A 14,552-nucleotide genomic window follows, 5' to 3' on the forward strand; every position below is an offset into this window, starting at 1 on the left:
CTTAAAAACCCTAGCCTCTGAATTCTCAGAGAGGCAGATGTGAGAAATACCTCCCATCTCCTCACTTGACTGGCCCTGTTATTATTAAATACTTTCTCCACTGCAACTCCTGCTTTTCTCAGTGTACTAGCTTTTGCGGGCAGTGGGCAAGAACAACCTACTGGGTGATTACAATTTCTCCACCCAAGTTACTATTTGTCCTTTCCATGCACTACTCATTAGAAGCAAGTCACTAAGTCCAGTGTCACTCCAGTACTCACCCAAGGGGACAGAAAGCAAGCTCTACTTCCTGTAGGGGGTACAACATTCATAATCATTTATTTAGAATTCTGGAATGGAGATTTGTCCATTCTCACTATTAGTTATTCATTGTTTCATTTACATCAGTATGGACTCTTGGATATTTATTTTATTCTTTGAATTATAATCCAATTCTACAGTTTTGTATAATATTATTCCAATACTGATGACCAGAGGCTCATTTAGATTGGCTTCTGTATCCTGTTGACATGCCCCCTCTCCCTCTCCATCACCTTTTTCAAGCAAATCTTCACTCTCTGCACTACAAGATGCTCCATGTTAATCTTGTACTTTCCCTACCCCAGCCCCAGAATTAGCCATTGTTACAAGAGCACTAGCAACTTTCATTGGAAAAAGGTCTTTTAGAAACCAAGATCTGGGATCTGGGTGTGCTCACTGCTATTGTCACTGCTTCTGCCCTTTTGAAGGGCAGAGCTAGGAAATATGTATGTATTCTAACTCAGGTATATATTCATATCTATTTTTTTATTTCTGAATCAATCTATTTGTATATATTTTAAAATAAACATGAATTAAAGCTTATCTCAAACTCTAACCCAACATCACAGAGTTCATTCTAGCCTTCATCCTCCTGGCTTCTTTGTACATTCTTTTTCTGACAATGAGAAATCTACTGTCTTTATCTACAGTTTATTTACTTCTTGGTTCAACTCTAATGCATGTGTAAAATATTTTCAGTATTGCTAATCCATATCCCTGTATGAAACACATTTATCTACTACAGCAGGGGTTATCAAACTCCTGGCACTTTGACTATTTTACTATAAGAGCTAAGAATTGTATTTACATTTGTAAATGACTATAAAAATAGAATATTTTATGAAAATTCATGTGAAAATTACATGAAATTTACATTTTAGTGCACAATGATAAAATTTTTTTGGTACACAGAAATGCTCATTTGTTTACATACTGCATATGATTACTTTCTTGCTACAACCACACAGCTGAGTAGTTGTCACAGGGATGCTATGACCTAAAAAGTAAAAAGTATTTAACATCTTACAGTCTACAGAAAAAGTTGGCTGACCACTGAACTAGAATATAGTGACTATGTAGTTCTTTTTGTCTTAGCCTTACCATATGCATTTAAAACATCATATTCCAAAGTTATTTAGGTCAGTTAATTTAAACATGTCTTACATTTTAATATTGTCATATTCATCAATTATGATAGTCATTACATCCTTGGATGACACAACATCATGCTTTTTTCTTTTAATTTTCATATAGTAAAGTTAACTCTGATGTACATATCTATGAGTTTTGACAAATGCATAAAGTTATTTATTGATCACTCCCATACCAATCATAACAGTTCCTGAAACCTAAAAATTTCCCTGTCAGGCTGGTCTCTTTTGTAGTCAACATCTTCTGTCCCCCTCCTTACAAATTTTGTTACTTCAATAATGTCATATAAATAAAATCATACATGTAGCTTTGGGGATCTGGCTTCTTTCACTTAAGCTGTATTTAAGATTCATCATGTTGTGTGAATTAATAGATCATTCTTTTTTATTGTTGAGTAGTATTCCATTGAAGACAGACATGCCATAGTTTGTTCACCATTCACCAATGAAGGGCATCTCTGTTGCCTCCACCTTTTGGCAACCATAAAGTTTCTATAAATATTTGTGTACAAATTTTGGTGTGAACATAAATTTTCAGTGCATTTGGATAAAGACCTAGGAGTAGGATTGCCAGGTCATATGATAAGTATATGTTTAATTTTATTTAAAACTGTCTTATATAGTGGCTATACCATTGGTATTCCCACCAGCATGAAATGGGAGTTCCTATTATTCCACATCCTTGTCAGCATAATTTTGTTGTTGTTTTTGGGTGTATGGTGGTATATCATTATGGTTTTAATTTGCACTTCCATTATGAGTTGAGCATGTTTTAATGTGTTCTTTTGGTGAAGTGCCTGTTCAGATCTTTTGCCCATTATTTAATTTGGTTATTTATTTTTTTTGTTAAGTTTGGATAGTTGTTTTGTGCTTTTCTTTCTTTTTTTTTTTTCCTAACTCTGGATACAAGTCCTAACTCATATATGTGATTTTAAAATATTTTCATCCAACTTGTGGCCTTTTTTCTTTCTCTTAATAGTGACTTCCACAGAGCAAATTAAATCCAATTTATCAGTTTTTTTAACTTTATGGATGTTGTGCTTGCTATCATATAAAAACTCATTGCCGAAATTAAATTACACAGATTTTCTACTATGTTTTCCTCTAGAAGTTTTACAGTTTTACATTGAAGATCTATGATCTATTTTGAATTACACGCCAAGGGGCTTTTAAAAAAAATCTAGAACCATTTGTTTAAAAGATAACAAAAACAAAGTCGACATTTAATTGGCTTTACACTTTTGTCAAAATCAGTTGACAGTATTTACGTGGGTCTATTTCTGGAATCTTTATTCTATTCCTTTGATACATGTGTCCATAATTTAATCAATATAACACAATCTTCATTACTGTGCTTTATTGCAAAAATCTTAAAATTAGGCAGTGAGTCCTCCAGCTTTGTTTGTTTCAGATCGTTTTGATTTTTCAAGTTTCTTTGCCTTTCATACACATTGTTGAATAAGCTTGTCAATATCTACTAAAAACATGTGCTGGAATTTTGATTAAGATTGCATAAAATCTAGACATCAAATTGAGATTCAAATATTGAATCCTCCTGTCCATGAACATGATATGTCAACTCTACTTATTTCTCTCTTCCTTGATTTCTTTCAGTAGTGTCTTCTAGTTCTCAGCATACAGATCCTACACATATTGTTAGAATTTTAGCTAAGCACTTAAATTCCTGCTGCTATTGTAAATGGCATAGATCTTATAACTTAAAATTTCAATTGCTCATTGCTGGTATATAGAAAAAAAATTGACTTTCCTTCTTTCTGTGACCATGCTCAACTCACTATTTCTATGAGCTTTTCTCTAGATCCTTTAGAGTTTTCTACATAAATAATCATATCTTCTGCAAATACAGTTACGTTTCTTCCTTTCTAATCTGTATGACTTTTATTTTACTTGCCTTATTACATTGCCTAAGATTTTCAGTATGACGCTAAAGAAAACAATGCTTTGTTTCCGAACTTTGAGAAAAAGTAATCAGTCTTTCACCAGTGAGCATAATGTTAGCTATAGGTTTTCAACAGATGCTCAAAGGAAGTTCACTTCTACTCCCACTTTACTAAGAGTTTTTATCATGAATGGAGTTTAATTTTATTGAATCCTTTTTTGGGTCTGCTGAAACTACATATAAGAAATATGCTTTTTCTTAATCATTTACTAGGATAAATTTATACTGCATTTCTGCAATAAGTCCACTTAATTGTGATGTATTTTCATTTTTATATACAGATGGATTTAATTTGCTAATATGTTGTTGGGAATTTTTGTATATACATTCATGAGGGCCATTGGTCTACATTTTTCTTTGCTTGTAATGTTGATGTCTGGTTATAGCATTACAGTAAATATTGACTTCATAAAATGACCTGGGAAGTTTTCCTTCTTCTATTTTCAGGGATGTGCAAGACTGGTATTGTGTTCTCCTTAAATTTTGTTTGGATTCACCAGAGAAACCATCTGGGCCTAGGGCTCTCTCCTTGAAAAAGTTCTTAACTACAAATTCAATTTCTTTAATAGATATACAACCAGTAATATTATTTCATCTTCAGTTAGTTATTGTATTAGTCCATTTTCATGCTGCTGATAAAGACATACCTGAGAATGGGCAATTTACAAAAGAAAGAGGTATAATTGGACTTACAGTTCCACGTGGCTGGGGAAGCCTCACAATCATGGTTAAAGCCAATAGGGAGCAAGTCACATCTTACATGGATGGCAGCAAGAAAAGAGAGATCTTATGCAGAGGAACTCCTCTTTTAAAAACCATCAGACCTCATGAGACTTATTCACTATCAAGAGAACAGCCACAGGAAAGACTTGCCCCCATGATTCAATTACCTCCCACAGGGTCCCTCCCACAACACATGGGAATTCAAGATGAGACTTGAGTGGGCACACAGCCAAACCATATCATTTATAGTAGTTTGTATTTTTCCAGGATTTGGCCCATTTCATTGATCAAAGTTTCAACAGCAAAACCTCATGAAAAGCTTTCATCAAAACTTCACAATCAAAATTTCATCAAAGTTTTAACATCAATGCAAATACAGCAGAATATAGGATTAGCAAAGAACAGTTTAAAAGCAAATATCCAAACTGGAGAGAAAAAATAATGAAAAATATGAATATAGGCATAAGATACATATGAGACACATTTTAAAGATTTTTATATAAGTGTAATTTGAAGTTCCAGAAAAACAGCAAAGAGATATTGGGGAAGAAGCAATGTTTAAAGAAAGAATGGCTAAGAGTTTTCCAAAACAGATGAAAGACATGAGTTCTGCATACTGAATGGATATTAATTCAGTAAAACCACATTTAGATAGATCATAGGAAAACTACTATGTCAAATAGCAAATCTTACATGCAACAGAAGGGGGAAAGCCATATTATTGCAAATAAATAATAGCTGATTTTTCAACAGACTCAGAAGCAGCCAGAAGACAATGGATTAGCTTCTTTTAAATACAAAAAAAAAAAAAAAAAATGACTTTTAACCTAGAATTCTACATCCAGCAAAACTATTGTTCATAAATACAACCAAGATGTTTTGAAGAAAACTCAGAATTCTCATCCAGGAGTGTGACATAAAAAGAAGCATTAAAGAGAGTTCTTCATGTTAGAAGGAAAACAATTCTAGAACCCAAATGGAAACAGTGAATTGCAAGAAAGAATGAATAATAATATGTGATTAAAATAAGTGTTACTAGATGAACAAAAATAATTTCTTGTGTTTTATACATGTAGAATTAAGATGCCTGATAATAGATAAGCAAAAAAGAAAGCAGATTAAAAACAGCTAAATGTTTTCATGTTCCAATATTATTCAAAAAATCATAAAAAATAATGTCACGTATGTATGTTGAAATAAGGCAAACAATAACAAAATAGTTAAAAAGAACCACGAGTTAATACAAAGGAAAATAAATTGTTAAAAATTTTGATTAACCCAAACAAAAGACAAAACAACCTACATAAAAATACTACATTTTCATTCTTGAAAAAAAAAAAACTCACGTGTTACTTACAAGATACATCCTTTACATATAATGACATAAACCAAAGAATTGAAAAATATATACCATGCATATACTAGACAAAAAAAGCTGCTGTAGCTATACTAATATCAGATAAAATATACTGTGAAACAAGGAATATTACTAGAGATAAAGAGGGACATTTCATAATTAAAGTTCCATAATCCATCCAATGACATCGCTTCAAAATATATAAAACAAAATTAAGAGAACCAGAATGTAAAATAAACAAATCTATAATCATGAGACTTGAACCTTTCTTGAAATGTGACCCCTAGCTACCACTATGTGGAAAAAAAATAATTCCAAATGGTTCATATATTTAAATGTTAAAGAAAAAGGCCTTTAGAAGACATAGGAGAAAGTCTTAAAGTAGACAAAAACTATAAAAATGCTAATCAAAAAGGAAAAATGATAAACTGTATTCATTAGAATAACTACTTTTAACCAAAAGATACTATTAAGAGTGAAAAGATAAGGCACAGAGTGGAAAAAAAATTGCAAAACATATATCTAAGGACTCATATGAAGAATCTACAAAGAAATCTTACCTAAAAATGAAAGATAGACAATCCAGTAGAAAAATGAACAAATGATGTGAACACAACAGAGGATATCCCAATGGCCAATAAGAATATTCACTCGTCACTGGACACAGCAAATTAAAACCATTATATGATAAATTACTTTTCACTTATCAAAATGCCAAAAGAAAACACAGAGAAGCACAGAGGCATATGCATGCACACACATACACACACACAATCAGTCAAAGAAGTAGGGAGGATGTGAAACAAGTAGAACTCTCCCACATTGGTAGTGGGAGTGTAACTGTTAAAACCATGTGCAACATTCTTTGATAGCATCTACTAAAGCTGAGTGTACATTCCCTCTGATTAATTCCACTGGTAGATACATACCCAAATAAAATGTATGCAATGTCACCCAAGGACATGTGCATACTGCTTACAGCAGCTCTGTAATAGCCCAAACCCAAAACAAACCAAATGCGCACCAATGGAGGAATGAATAAGTAAATGGTAGCATTTTCATACAATAAAATGTATTGTATGAATACATTTTATTCATGGCAACAATAATGAACTACTGCTACACTGCCAGGTAAAACAGGATGTCTAAATTGCAAAAACGCTTGAATTGAAAAACCAAAAAGAAACAGGAATAAAAAAGTAGACACTGTAGGATGTCATTTATATAAAGCTCAAAACGTGCAATATTATATCTTGCTGTTAGAAGATAAAAAACTTTGTTAGAAATTTGATAATGTTTACACTTGGAATAGCAGTAGCTGGCAGGAAACAAGAGGGGCTTCTGCAGAGAACTGTTTCATTTCTTGATCTGGTAGGTAGTTTACATGAGACTGTTAATTTTATAATTTCTCAAGCTGTTACTTATTATTTGTGCATTTTCTATGTGTTCTTTTCTATGCTTTGAAAAGAAGTTTAATTTTAAAAACAGCATGTATATAGAAACTTAAAACTGTAAAAACTGATCCCAAGGTCATATAAACCCCTTATACCCCCCCAAGACTAATCTTAGTGTCCAGCACACATTGATGATAAATGATTGTTTTTTAAACTAATGAATGAAACAAGGGATCAAACACATAAAAAAGTACTGTCATTATTTCCCAGCTGTCATTTATATGAATGCTTATCTGCTTTTTCTCAGAAAATATCCTCATACAGATTTTTCCTAATGTTAAACCTGACAAACCTGACCTGCCCTTTTCCTCTTTTATTCAATTAACATACAAATTAACTGAGAAGTTTCTTCAAAATACATACCTCTCCTACCCACTCATGCTACCATTTAGGATTAAATCTATTTGCAGTAGATGAAATTGCTTTATATTGGGCCACAAAACAAGAGTTCTCATATTTTGAAGGCTGTGAAATAATTATCATCAAGTCACTATGTACTGAAACTTTATAAGATAATTATCACTAACATTGTTTATAGTTAAGATGGTCTATTTCAAACATTTTGCATAATGACTTAGGTCAAGCAGGCATTTAGATATGTTGCCTTGGGCAAAACCACTGACTTCCATCAAATGGAGCTTGCTTGCTTTCTTTTTTTCTTCCCGGTGACTAAATTTTGTAAGCTTTAGGCATCTTTGGTGGTTTTCTTGACCTATTATAAATAGTCTTCAAAAAAAAATTTTAGAAACTAACATATAAATGTCTTTGATGAGCCTGATGTGATTTCAAGACATTTTTTACCCGGTCATGGATCTCATCGCAGTTTGAAGGTGAACACCAATCAGAATGAAATCTGTAGGCAAAAAATAAGTTTTATTTTTGTTACTAAAATCAGGTAATGATTCTAAGCTATACTATCAAGTTTTCACAGTATGTTCAACAAATAGTCTTAATAAAGGTTGGCATACATTGGGGAGAACATACCTATATATCTGACCATTTTAATGATTTCCACACAGTTATTTGGAGCTTTAATTAAAGATACAGATTTTCATATGAAAACAGTAATTCTATGTACAATGCCTTTACATATAGTTCCTATTCTTTAGTAATCATACCCTCAAACTGTGTGAAAAAATTCCTTTCTGCAGAGAAAAAAAATACCTAATTTTATGAAATGAAACAAAATGTGTATAATAGACAAAAATATCTACAATTTAATCATGCTCATTTTTTCAGAATACAGAGCAACACAGAAGTTAAATGGTTTCTTTTCAACACAGATGATATTATCTCTCTAGTCTCAGCTATGAATAAATGCATCTAAAAAATTGAAAAATATAACTTTATTATTAGAGTCTGGGGGTTGAAATTAAAGATATGAAAGAAGAAACAAAGCATCCCTTTCTCTTTTGTATGCCCTTCTCAAATTCAAAACTGACACTAGTATAGATAAACGACTTTATTTCATATAATAATGAAAATTTCTAATTATAATATATAGTGTTATTAATAATTCCCTTATAATGAAATAGGTAAAATGTTGCTATGTTGCTGAAAACTTTGCCTTGTTTTCTTCCCAGTTTGTCCTTTCTTTTTTTTTTTTTTTTTTTTTGACACGGAGTCTCGCTCTGTCACCCATGCTGGAGTGCAATGGCGCGACCTTGGTTAACTGCAACCTCCGCCTCCCAGGTTCAAGCAATTCTCCTGCCTCAGCCTCCTGAGTAGCTGGGATTGCCTGCCACTACACCTGGCTAATTTTTGTATTTTTAGTAGAGAGGTTTCATCATGTTGGTCAGGCTGGTCCCAAACTGCTGACCTCGTGATCCGCCCACCTTGGCCTCCCAAAGTGCTGGGATTACAGGCATGAGCCCAGTTTGTTCTTAAAAGCTACAATATCATATGTTTATACAAAATATAAACTACTAAACAGGATAAATGTTTTATACAATCTACTTTAAAGAATGCAATAAGTAATGAATAATCAATTATCTAAACTTTAATCTCCTGTATATATAAAAGCAAGTTCTATTGCATCTATGAAAAATACATTAGCAGACTTTGTTATTTGCAATATATATAGTACATCTTGGAAATCTGAGATCCAACTATGCAGCTCTGAGAATCCACTGGATCTCTTCAATGATACTATTAGAGGATCCACTAGTCTGTGCTGTGGAATAAGGAATGCTTGCTTGCCAGTCTAATTTCATTTATAAAACTCAAAACTTTAAGCATGATTCAAAAGAATATCAGCTCCTTTTTCAGTAGATTTGCTAGTATTTCTTGGTCTAATTTGAGTAATAACTCAAAAGCTCACACAAATTTTATATTATAATATTAATATTTACACATTGAGAAGGAAACAACTTCTGAAATATAACACTTATAACCAAAATTGAAACCATTTTATGTTGTGCTAACTTTACTGGAGGAATTTCTTAAATGGGCACAAAGCAAAAAACACCTTCACTATAAATAAAGCAATTCATTTGATTAAAGCCATTGGGAAAGTTTCTAAAAATCTGTTTATATACATGATTAAGGAGTCAGCATTTTACTGCAATCTTAGAGAAAACTTACTTAATTTCAATAAATATTTACACAGATAAACTCCTATAACTGTATGTTCTGTCATACATCATCCACGCAAAACTTCCAATTTTGCCTGGAACATATAATCCACATTTACATCAGTTTAAATTGTTTATTGATTTCAATAGATTGTATAAACACCCTACAAGTATACTGCTTAGTGACCTATAAAAAGCCATTTCAGAGAATGTCTTATATTTAAAGATGAGGTACTGAGTGTTGAAAAGAATAAAATTTTTTGTTCCCAGTAGTACGTCTTAGACATTTTATCTTCCTTTAGAGACAAGATATTTAGAAAATACACTCAAATCAAAGGTGTTCTGCTTTAGCGAAAGTAAAAAAAGCTTATCTACCATGCCTGCCCCAGAGAGTATACCAACAGAATGTTAATTTGTATAGGTAAATTCAAAACTAAATTGCCATTGTATTCTTTTATTTTAAAATTACCTAACCTTCCTCAAGTTATAGTTAAATTAGGTAATGTTTAACATTAGAATCACTCATTTTCTTCTAGCAAATAACTTACTACATCTATCATCCTGAGTGAAAATAATGTGTAAATGCCACCGCTATCTACTCTAAGCCCTTCCCCACACTGAAATATGAATAAAGGGACAGCTAACTTTAGCTGTCATCGATGAAGAATTTTTGAATATAGCCTCAATGACAAATTGATCAATCCAGAAAAGACTGAGGTCAAAAGCTGGAACAAAATTGCATACAAAGATAAAGTAACACTGAACTAAAATTAATACTGTACTAGAGTGGTAGGTTTACAATTGGAGAGTTCTGCAAAATATGTGAAAAGGTAGAAAAATAAAAGTATTTATAAAAGTAAATAAAAACAAATTTATTTATAAAAGTAAATAATATTTATTTATAAAAGTATTTATAAAAGTTTATTATAAAAGTAAATAAAAACATATCCAAGGAAATACAGATTTAAAAAATTCTGGAAAACTTACAGAGATGACAAAGGACCTAATCAACAAAATCACAAGAGATGAATTCTAAAAGTCGGTAAAAAGAAAGGAGCACCAACTGTACGTCTAAACAGCTGGGCAGATGAGGAAATCGAGGAAAGTCCCCTGATACTGAGATGCAAGTTATCAACTTCAGCAGAAAAACCGCTCTTCCAGTTTTTCTCCTGAATTTTTGATGTTATTGTTGTTGTTTGTGTGTGTGCGCACCTATGTTAACGATTCCATGATCCCCCACTATCCCGCAACAGGCATGATTCTAATGGACTAGAAGCAACCTTAATCAAAATTCCATATCTCAGGATTAGGGTCTACAACATGCCTCCATATATCCACTATGAATACTTTCAAAGCTAATAAGTAAACAGACAAACCTGTATGTTTAAAATAGGTTTGTTTTAATATAGCATCCAAACTAACACACTGTTGTTCAAATCATCAGTTTTGAGTTAAACTTAACCAGGATTGATTTCTTTTCAACTTATTACAGAAACATGGTTTTCTATATTACTATTAGTGACAGAGGCAAGGAATTTCCTATTTCAATTTTAAAATATATGAAAAGGAACTATTTATTTCACATCCAAATTATAACAGGATCAGACTCTGGTTGCCATAGCATTTTTAAAGGGAGAGCTGGAATCTTTACATGATTAAGATGCTCTTAGGGAGCTGGGGTAGGTTGTTTGAGAAAACTAGATACCATCTACCAAAAATATATAGATAGCCATTATGACTAAATAAAAAATATAATCTGTGTTGTGTTTACACTTAAGGCAAGCCTATAATATTAAATTCCTCTGGATCTACTAAAAACAAACACATATATTACTTTTCACTTTTAAGAACTATAATCTGTAATTAAGGTTAATGTGACCCATATCTGGTTAATAAACTCACATATAGAGAACTGTGCTAGGAAGAAATATCTAACATTATCTAATATGTAATATATTCTAAACAAAAACAATTTAAGCCTTTTAAAATCAAATTACACTTTTATAAACATTCATTTCACATGCATAATTGCTGCTTCCCCTTCTAATACTTATTATTCAAAGATCAGTACAGAAATGAAGACCGCACATAATTACCTTTCCCTGAGAGAAGCTCTATTTAACACAGGGCTTGGAGAATGCTTTGGCATTGTTGAGGGTGCTGAATGGACTAGCAAGGTCCTCGCTGAATGCCGGGGCTTACTACACGACCTTGGGCTCAAATACTCTTCACATTTTTCTAAAGAGTCATCGAAGTCTCTCCCATGGGGTGTCCTGATAACCTGTTTTAAAAATTATATACATATAGATATACAAATACAGATACATATGTATATAACATATTATATAGTAATATAGTATGCATAGTAGTCATATGCATGTGCACACACACACTAATTTTATAAAAGTAATAAAACATATGCCACAGCTATAAAGATAAAATTCAGAACATAGTAATTAGTCACTGTAAGATTAAATATTAAATGTATCAAGATTGTCATTATATATAAAATGTATAAGACAGTTCGAAAGGCTTTTGAGTAGTGGTGGGGTTCGCATAGGGATGTGTGTATCTAAAACAAAGAATACATCCACATGAACCAAATGGTAGCCTAGTTTAGCTATCAGATCAAACAGAACTAGATTCAAATTCAGGTCTAATACTCATTCACTACTTCATTTGTTCTGGGAATGGACACATGAACAAATCAGAAAAGACAAATGAATAAATTCCTGCTCCTGTGGAACATATATTCTGGTAAAATATATATTCTAATAAGAAGAGATAAATGTAAAACACAAAAACACACCAAGATAAAGAACTAGAATAGAGTGTGTTACAGGATATTAAGTAACATGAGAAGCAGGGGGGTTAAGTGCTGATGGGTGCGATGGAAAGATTATGCAGGAAAGGAACTGTAATTTTAAATGGGATAGTCAGTAGGAACCTCACTGAGACCTGAAGACCTCAGTAAAGACCGTAAGACCTAAGTCACGAAGATTATCTGTGGAAAGACTATGCCAGAAGAGAGAAAAATAAATGCAAAGATCTTGGGAGTAGGAGGAGGACATGCTTGATATTAGCAAGGGAGCCAGTGGAGCTCGACTGGGTAGTAAGAAATGAGGTCAAAAAGGTAGGTTTTAAGAAATTAATCTTTTATTCTGAGAGAAAAATATGTCCTGACTTTTTCCTTCTATAAATAGGACATCCCAGGCTATTATATTGAGAATAGTCTGCAGAGGGGCCAAGGGCCCTGGGAGGAAATCAGCTAGGAACCTATTATAATAAAATCTGGAAAAGCATGCTGGCTTGGGCCAGAATGACTGCAATGGAGGTGAGAAGTGATCAGATTCACAATATATTTAGAAGACACAGCCAACAGGTCACAACTGGTCTCGATGTCAAAGATGACACTAAGGTTTTCTGTCCTAATCAACTAGAAGGGTTGGGTTTGTATGAATTAGATATACTCTTCCAATTGTAAGCATAGAAAATTAAGATATTAGGAGTCTAGTTTTGGACATATTAAGCTTCACATATCTATTAATCTATTAATCATTCAATATATTACAGCAGAGTTTGGGGGAAAGTCCAGGATGAAAATATAAATTGGTAATTACTAGAGTCTAAATGGTATTTAGAGGTATTGCACTGGGTGATATTGCCAAGGAAGTAAAAGTAAATCAAAAGTAGAAAACATCTGAAGAATTAGCCCTGGGAATACTCCAATATTTAGAGGCTTGAAAGATGAAAAGAAAACATTACTGAAGAGTAGCCAGGGAAGAAAGGAAAGAAACACGAGAATGTGTTGTTTTGGAAGTGAATAAACAATGTATTTTAAGGAAGGGGGAGTAACTAATGGGTAAATATAACTTGATAGGTCAAGTTAGAAAAGACAGACCTTTGGATGTTAGTAACAGTGAAGTCATCGATAACATCAACAAAAATAGCTTTAACGGAGTGACAAGAGTGAAAATCTGAAGTTGAATTCAAGAGAGAATAAGAGGAGAGGAATTGGATTCATTTAACAAATATTTGAGTCCCAGTCATGTCCTAAGTTTTGGGACTACAATAGTGAACAAAACAAAGTCTCTGCCTTTAAGAGTTTATGTTATAGTAGCGCTATTTGTTAAATATTTGACCATTTAGACAGCTATCTAATTCTTCTCAGACTCATTTCCCTCACATGAAAAATAAAGTTAATAATAGCTAGCTTACAGATCTTCCATTATTTATTTAAACTATATTGCAGGATGTCTAGGTGTATACATTAGTTGCCCAATAAATGTATGTCATTTGTTATTAAAACATAAGTCCAGCATAGGTTTTGCTTCAACACTACCATAATTTTCACTATTTTCCAAAATTACAACAAATAATAAGTCAGTGGTCAGCTGAGAGAATCATGCTTTCATTCCAGAACCTAATAGAACATAGTTCAAATGACACAGTTACAGTCCCCAATAACTGACCAACAAGAAATATGTGATCAAGACTGAAGAAAAAAATAAAATTGCTCCATTTTTAGCTATTCAGAGACAAAACAAAAACACAGTAAAACTTAAAAACAAGATCAAGGAGGCTGATGGTCAACAATGTAAGTGCATATGTTCAGAGACACAGAATAGGTAGCTCACATCTGTAGTCTCAACTATTCAGGAGGCTGAGGCAGGAGGAACACTTGAGCTCAGGAGTTCTATGTTGCAGTGAGCTATGACTGCACCACTGCACTCCAGCCTGGGTGACACAGCAACACTCTGTCTCAAAGAAAAAGAAAAAAAAGAAAAGAAAGAAAAAGAAAGTGGGAGAAGGTGTCACACTGTTGTTTCTAGAATATATCCAAATACGAACCAATTGGCCTGGATTATTTTCTTTTTATCAATTTCAATGTCAATTGAGACATGTTAGATGGCAGACCACTTCATTTTTATCTGCTAAATTTTATCCCCAAACTAGTCAGCATTGCTTTATATAAAGCCTTTTATAGGTGACTACCACTGAATTTCTATCACAATATTCACTGAGAATCTCTTG

At 32.7% G+C, this 14,552-nt stretch overlaps 1 protein-coding gene across 20 annotated transcripts in view; it reads right to left on the bottom strand.

Annotated features, from left to right (window-relative positions):
* Window positions 1–14,552, bottom strand: part of SPATA6 (spermatogenesis associated 6) — a 210,816-nt gene that overhangs the window by 86,583 nt on the left and 109,681 nt on the right. For 14 of the 20 annotated variants that reach the window (XM_006710699.4, XM_047422919.1, XM_017001510.2 and 11 more), the window contains 2 exons: window positions 11,615–11,799; window positions 7,699–7,798 (listed from right to left, as the gene is read on the bottom strand). The exons of 2 other annotated variants lie outside the window; for them this stretch is intronic. In XM_006710699.4, coding sequence (XP_006710762.1) covers window positions 7,699–7,798; window positions 11,615–11,799 — 285 coding nt within the window. Of the gene's footprint in view, window positions 1–7,698; window positions 7,799–11,614; window positions 11,800–14,552 lie in introns of those variants that run through there. 4 more of the 20 variants (XM_047422901.1, XM_047422902.1, NM_001286238.2 and 1 more) reach the window with 2 other exon arrangements.

This window comes from Homo sapiens, chromosome 1 (genome assembly GCF_000001405.40).
Source record: "Homo sapiens chromosome 1, GRCh38.p14 Primary Assembly".
Taxonomy (NCBI): Eukaryota; Metazoa; Chordata; class Mammalia; order Primates; family Hominidae; genus Homo; species Homo sapiens.